The sequence below is a fragment of the Homo sapiens genome, chromosome 6, assembly GCF_000001405.40.
Source record: "Homo sapiens chromosome 6, GRCh38.p14 Primary Assembly".
Taxonomy (NCBI): Eukaryota; Metazoa; Chordata; class Mammalia; order Primates; family Hominidae; genus Homo; species Homo sapiens.
The window spans coordinates 95,501,624-95,508,683 of record NC_000006.12 but is presented as its reverse complement, the minus strand read 5'-3'; the positions used below and the strand labels follow the sequence as shown (position 1 = coordinate 95,508,683).

At 25.8% G+C, this 7,060-nt stretch overlaps 1 pseudogene; it reads right to left on the bottom strand.

Moving 5' to 3' along the window:
* On the bottom strand, positions 3,993-4,562 carry CYCSP17 (CYCS pseudogene 17; annotated as a pseudogene).

The following is a 7,060-nucleotide window of genomic DNA, read 5'->3' as shown; positions in this document are numbered from 1 at the left end:
ATCTCCAGCCACATTCTGAAATCTCAGTTATTTCAATGGCAGTTTTGTTAAGTGGGATGGAATCTTATTTGTCCTTTTTTTTTGCTTGTGCTTTTTGGGTCATATCCAAAAAATCATTGCCCAAACCAACTTCAACAAACTATTTCCTTGTTTTCTTCCAGTAGTTTTATAGTTTCAGATATTATATTTAAGTCCGTATCCCATTTTGAGTTGATTTATTTATAAGGTATAAGATACAGATGCAATGCCATTCTTCTGCATGTGGACATCTGGTTTTCCTAGCACCATTTATTGAATAAACTATCCTTTTCTCATTGTGTGTTCTTGGTACCTTTGTCAAAATATAATTGTGCAAAAATACATGAGTTTATGACTTTTTTTCTGGGCTCATCTGCTTCATTGGCCAATGTGACTGTTTTTATTCCAGTACTATGTTGTTTTAAGTAGCTTTATAATATATTTTGAAATAAGGAAGTGTGATGCCTCCAAATTTGTTCCTCTTGCTCAAGATTGTTTTGGCTATTTTGTATCTTTAGTGGTTCCATATAAATTCTAGGATTTTCTTCGATTTCTGTGAAAAATGACATTGAAATTTTGATAAGGTTGTATTGAATCTGTAGATCACTTTGGGTAGTATGGACATTTATATAATATCAATTCTTTCAATTCATGAACACAGGATATATTTCCATTTATTTGTGTTTTCCTCCATTTCTTTCACCAGTGTTTTATAATTCTCAGTGTATGGATTTTTCATTTTCCTTGTTAAATTTATGTCCAAATATTTTATATTTTGTTGCCATTGTAAATTGAATTGTTTTCTTAATTTTCTCTTTAGATAGTCTATTATTAGCTTATAGAAACACCTCTGATTTTTTTCTTGTTGACTTTGTATCCTGCATCTTTACTAAATTAATTTATTAGTTATAACAGTTGTGTGTGTATGTGTTTGTGTGTGTACATGTAATCTCTAGGGTTTCCTGTATATAAGATCATGTTGTCCGGAAACAGAGACAATTTCACTTTTTTCCTTCACTACTTGGATGTCTTTGATATCTTCCTCTTGCCTAACTCCTCTGTTTAGAGCTTCCATTACTAGGTTGAATAGAAGTGGTGAGACAGGGCATTCTTGTTTTATTCCTGATTTTAGAGAAAAATCTATCAACTTTTCACTGTTTAGAATGGCATTAGCTTTGGGCTTGTCATATATAGCCTTTATTGTGTTGAAGTACACTCCCTCTTACTTAATCTATTGAGATTTTTTGTGAAAGCCTATTGAATTTTGCTAAGTACTTTTTTTACAACTATAAAGATGATTATAAAATTTTAAATCTTCATTCTATTAATGTGGTGCACCACATTTACTGATCCACATATGTTGGAACCTTTTTGCATCTAAGGGTTAAATCCCAGTTGATAATGATGAATGTTTATTTTATTGTATTGTTGAATTCAGTTGCCAAGTATTTTGTCAAGAAATTTTACATCTATGCTCATCAGGGATATTGTCCTGTAATTTTCTTTTTTGTGGATTGTCCTGTCTGGCTTTGGTATCAGGGTAATGCTAGCTTCATAAATAAGTTTGGAAATATCCCCTTCACTTCAATTTTTTGAAAGAGTTTGAGAAAGATCGGTATTAAGACTCCTTTAAATGTGTGTATAGTTCAGCTGTGAAGCCAACAGGACCGGGACTTATTTTGATGGGAGGTTTTTAAAACTAATTCAGTTTCCTTGTTTGTAATTTATCTATTCAGATTTTCTATTTCTACTTGTTTGGGTCTTAGTATATTGTATGTGTCTAGAAATTTATCTGTTTCTTCTAGGTAGGTAATACAATTTGTTGGTGTAGAATTGTTCAGAGTAGTGTCTTGTAATTCTTTGTATTTCTGTTACATCTTTTGCAATATCTCCTCTTTCATTTTATTTATTAGAGTCTTCTTTCTTCTTTTCTTAGTTTAGTTCAGTGTTTGTCAATTTCATCTTTTCAAAGAACCAAGTCTTTCTTTCACTGATTTTTTTATATTGTTGTAGTCTCTAGTTCATTTATTTCTGCATAGATCTTTGTTATTTTCTCTTTTTTGCTATCGTTAGACTTAGTTCTTTTTCTAATTCTTTGAGGTCTATCTTTAGATTACTTTTTCTTTTTTTCTGATATAGGCATTTATTGATACATACTTTTCTCTTGAAACTGCTTTTGCTACATCTCATAAATGTGGTATATAATGTTTCCATTTTCATCAGTCTCAAGGTACTTTTTGCCATCCCTTTTAATTCTTTAACCTATTTTTTTCAGAAGCCTGTTGTTTAATTTCCACATATGTGTGAATTTACCTAGATTTCTTCTTTTATTAATTTCTACTTTAATACCATTGTGATTGGGAAAGATATGAGATACTTTTTAATCTTAAATTTGTAAAGACTTGTTTTTTGGCCTAACATATTATCTATCATGGAGAAGGTTATATGTGGACTAGAAAAAATGTATTCTGTTGCTGTTGGATGTAATATACTGTTTATGTCTTTTAGGCCCATTTGATCTAAAGTAGAATTCAAGTTCAATGTTTCTTTAGTGATGTTCTGTGTAGATGATCTCTCTATTGTTCGAGGAGGGATACTGAAGTTTCCTATTACTGTATTGTAGTCTTTCTCTTTCTTCTGATTATTTAATAATTGCTTTATACATTAGGTTCTTTATATATTTTGTATGCATATACATATTTACAATTATGTTCTCAATAATATGTTCTCTTTATTATTAGATAATAATATTCTTTGTCTCTTTTTACAGTTTTTATCTTAAAAGTTTATTTTGTCTGTTATAAGTGTAGCTACTCCTGCTCTTTTTTGGTGCTCAATTTGCAGAATGTCTTTTTCCAACTCTTTACTTTCAACCTATGTGTATTCTTGTAGGGACATAAGTTGGATCTTCTTTTCTAAAAATACATTCAGTCACTCTATGTCTTAGGATTGGAGAATTTAATTCATTTATGTCCAGGGTAATTATTAATAGGTAAGGACAGGCTACTGCCATTTGGTAATTTGCTTTTTGGTTATTTTGTAGATGCTTTGTTTCTTCCTATCTTCTTTTGAGGTTTGATGGTTTTCTATGCAGTTACGCTTTGGATTCTTTCTTTTAATGTTTATGCAACTATTACAGGGTTTGCTTTGTGGTTACCATGAGGCTTACATAAATCATTTTATACTTATAAGAGGCTGTGTAAGTTGATAATAGCTTAATTTTAATCACATAAAAACTCTATACTTTCATTGCTCCCTCTAACATTTTATGATTAGATATAAAAATTTACATCTTTGTATACTTTGTTTTTATCTGTAATTTTGTTTTTAATTGTCTTATGAGCACACATAATTTTTAAATTTGTGTATATCTCCTCTACTTTGATCCTTTTCATTTGGCAAAAGTACCATTCCCAGTCGTAAATACACAGCAGTTCTACAGTTTTATGTTTCTGAATGGCTGTTTAAAGACAGTCCTAAATTATAACTTAGTCTGACTTAGATAGTAAAGAATTCAAGAGTGACATTTACCTTGCTATTTTTTAAAGCATTTGACCTTACAGATGATCGATAAAATGTGAGAAGTGTTAAATAATCTTTATTTGATATTACACAGAAACCACACTAAAATGCCTTTCAATAAGTAAAAGGAACCATTTTAGATACAGGGAATTCTAATTACATTGGCACAGTTAAGACCAAAAACATAAAGTAGACATTTGCCACCTTATCTTTAGCCCTTGCCTTTAAGACACAAATGAACGCAAAACAGTTGAATCTTGCTTCGCTCTGAGACAGTGAAGGAATTTCCCCAGTATTTAAATATATTCACATAGCCAGTTATATAAGTCTAAATATAAATATAAAATCAATCTCCAATAATTTGCCATCTTTGTAAAAAGTTGAACATTACTAATGAAGTCCAATTATGTCTTTAGAAGGAGTAAATAGTGACAGCATTTACAGAATCAGGATTACTATTAAAATTTAAACAAAAAAACCAATTCATTTAACCACAAGCCGGTCTTAGTTATATCAGGACTACCCAACAAAAAATATTCTGTCAGTCATTTATGATCTGAATTCTGGTGTATGAGATCTATTAAATTATGGTACATATAAAAAGGTCATGAGACATTTCTCTTTTCTAATAAGTCAGTGACAATTTATTACTCATTAGTAGCTTTTTCCAAGATAAGTGATCAAGTCTGCCCTTTCTGCCTTCTTAGTGCCAAAAAATATCATCATTTTGTTCCAGGGATGTACTTCTTGAGATTCTCCAAATACTCTTTCAGTGTATCCTCTCCTCAGGTGATGCCTTTGTTCTTATTGGAATCTGTGTAAGAGAATCCAATGACCTGACCTGTCTTCTGCCCAGAGACCATGGAGATTTAGCCCAGTCTCTGCTTGCCTTCCTTTTCCATGGTGTGCCACTGGACACACTTCTGAATAAAAATCTTTTTGCCTTTCTCAACATCACTCATATTTAATTCTGTCTTTTATTCCTTGCACTGCAAAGGTTCCCACTTGGAAGCCAGACATCCTGTTCTATCCTTTGTGTAATTGGTAGCACTTAACAATTCATTGTAGCTAAAGTTGTTTTTAGTAATTTTGTCTTATAACCCTCACATCATAGATAAAATTGCTTTATACACCACTTTTTAATATTAGAGAATTTCAACTATGACTCTTTATTATTTATTGAGTTATTTGCCTTCATGTGTTTTATGTTATTAATTAGTAGCCCTTCGTCTCAACTTAAATAAATCCCTTTAGCAGTTTCTCTAGGGCTGACCTAGTAGTGATGAAATCTCTTAGCTTTTGTTTGTCTGGAAAAGTATTTATTTATCTCTCATTTCTGAAAGATAGTTTTGCTAGGTAAAGTATTCTTGGTGGGCAGATTTTTAAAATTTTTCTTCATCATTTTAAATATATCCTTCCACTCTCTTGTAGCCTGCAGGGTTTCTGTTTAGAAATATGATGACAGTCATATTGAAACTCCTTTGTATGTTATATGTTTCTTTTCACTTACTGCCTTCAGAATTCCTTATTTTACTTGAATTTTGATAGTTTGAATATTGTGCATGTTGGTGAATTTCTCTTTGGATTAAATTTAATTAGAGATCTCTGATCTTCTCATATCTGAATGTATGCATCTTTTCTCAGATTTGGGAAATTTACAGCCATTAATTCCTTAAATATAGTTTCTAGAACTTTTAAAAATTCTTCTGTGCTTCCTTTCTGCAAAGGTTAGTTCTCTTGATGATGTCCCATGATTCCTATATGCCTGCTTTATTACTTCAATTTTTTTTGATTTTCTCCTCTTTATAATTTCAAATGTTCAGTCTTCAAGCATACTGATCTTCTTTTCCTGTTGGTAAAGTTTGCTGTTGAAGGTTTATATTAAATTTTTCAGTTCAATTATTGTAATCTTTATTTCTAAAATTTCTATATAAATTTTTTATATAGAAATTTTTATTTTTTGTCAAATTTTAAATTTTATTTATACATCTTATTCCAAAGAAATAGAAATATATATAATATATAGTTTATATATATTATATATAATAATATATAATATATAGTTTATATATATTATATATAATAATATATAATATATAGTTTATATATATTATATATAATAATATATAATATATAGTTTATATATTATATATAATAATATATAGTATATAGTTTATATATTATATAATATATATCATATATAGTTTATATATTATATATAATATATATAATATATAGTTTATATATATAAACTATATATAAACTATATGTTATATATATTACATATTATATAAATATATATAATTTATATATTATATATAAACTATATATTATATATGTTTATATATAATATATATAATAAACAAATATATATATAATAAACAAATATACTATATATATTATATATAAATATATAAATATATATAATATATATAAATATATAAATATATATAATATATATATAATATATATAAATATATATAATATATATATAATATATATAAATATATATAATATATATAAATATATAAATATATATAATATATATAAATATATATAAATATATATTTATATAAATATATATAAATATATATTTATATAAATATATAAATATATATATAATATATGTTTATATATAATATATAAATATATATATAATATATGTTTATATATTATATATAATAATATATAGTATATAGTTTATATATTATATAATATATATCATATATAGTTTATATATTATATATAATATATATAATATATAGTTTATATATATAAACTATATATAAACTATATGTTATATATATTACATATTATATAAATATATATAATTTATATATTATATATAAACTATATATTATATATGTTTATATATAATATATATAATAAACAAATATATATATAATAAACAAATATACTATATATATTATATATAAATATATAAATATATATAATATATATAAATATATAAATATATATAATATATATATAATATATATAAATATATATAATATATATATAATATATATAAATATATATAATATATATAAATATATAAATATATATAATATATATAAATATATATAAATATATATTTATATAAATATATATAAATATATATTTATATAAATATATAAATATATATATAATATATGTTTATATATAATATATAAATATATATATAATATATGTTTATATATAATATATAAATATATATAATATATGTTTATATATAATATATATATTATATATATATGTGTATATATATATATACACACACATACATATTTACCTGTACTCCCTTAGGATGATTATTCTGAATTCTTTGTCAGTCATTTTATAGATGTCTATTTGTTTAGGGTTTATTATTAGAGCTGTATCAGTTTCTTCTGATGGTGTCATATGTCCCTGGTGCTTCTTAATTCTTGGGTATTTGTGTTGGTGTCAGCACATTTCAGATAATGGCCACATATTCCAGTCTTTGCAAGTATTTTTTGGCAGTGATAGACCTTTGTTATTT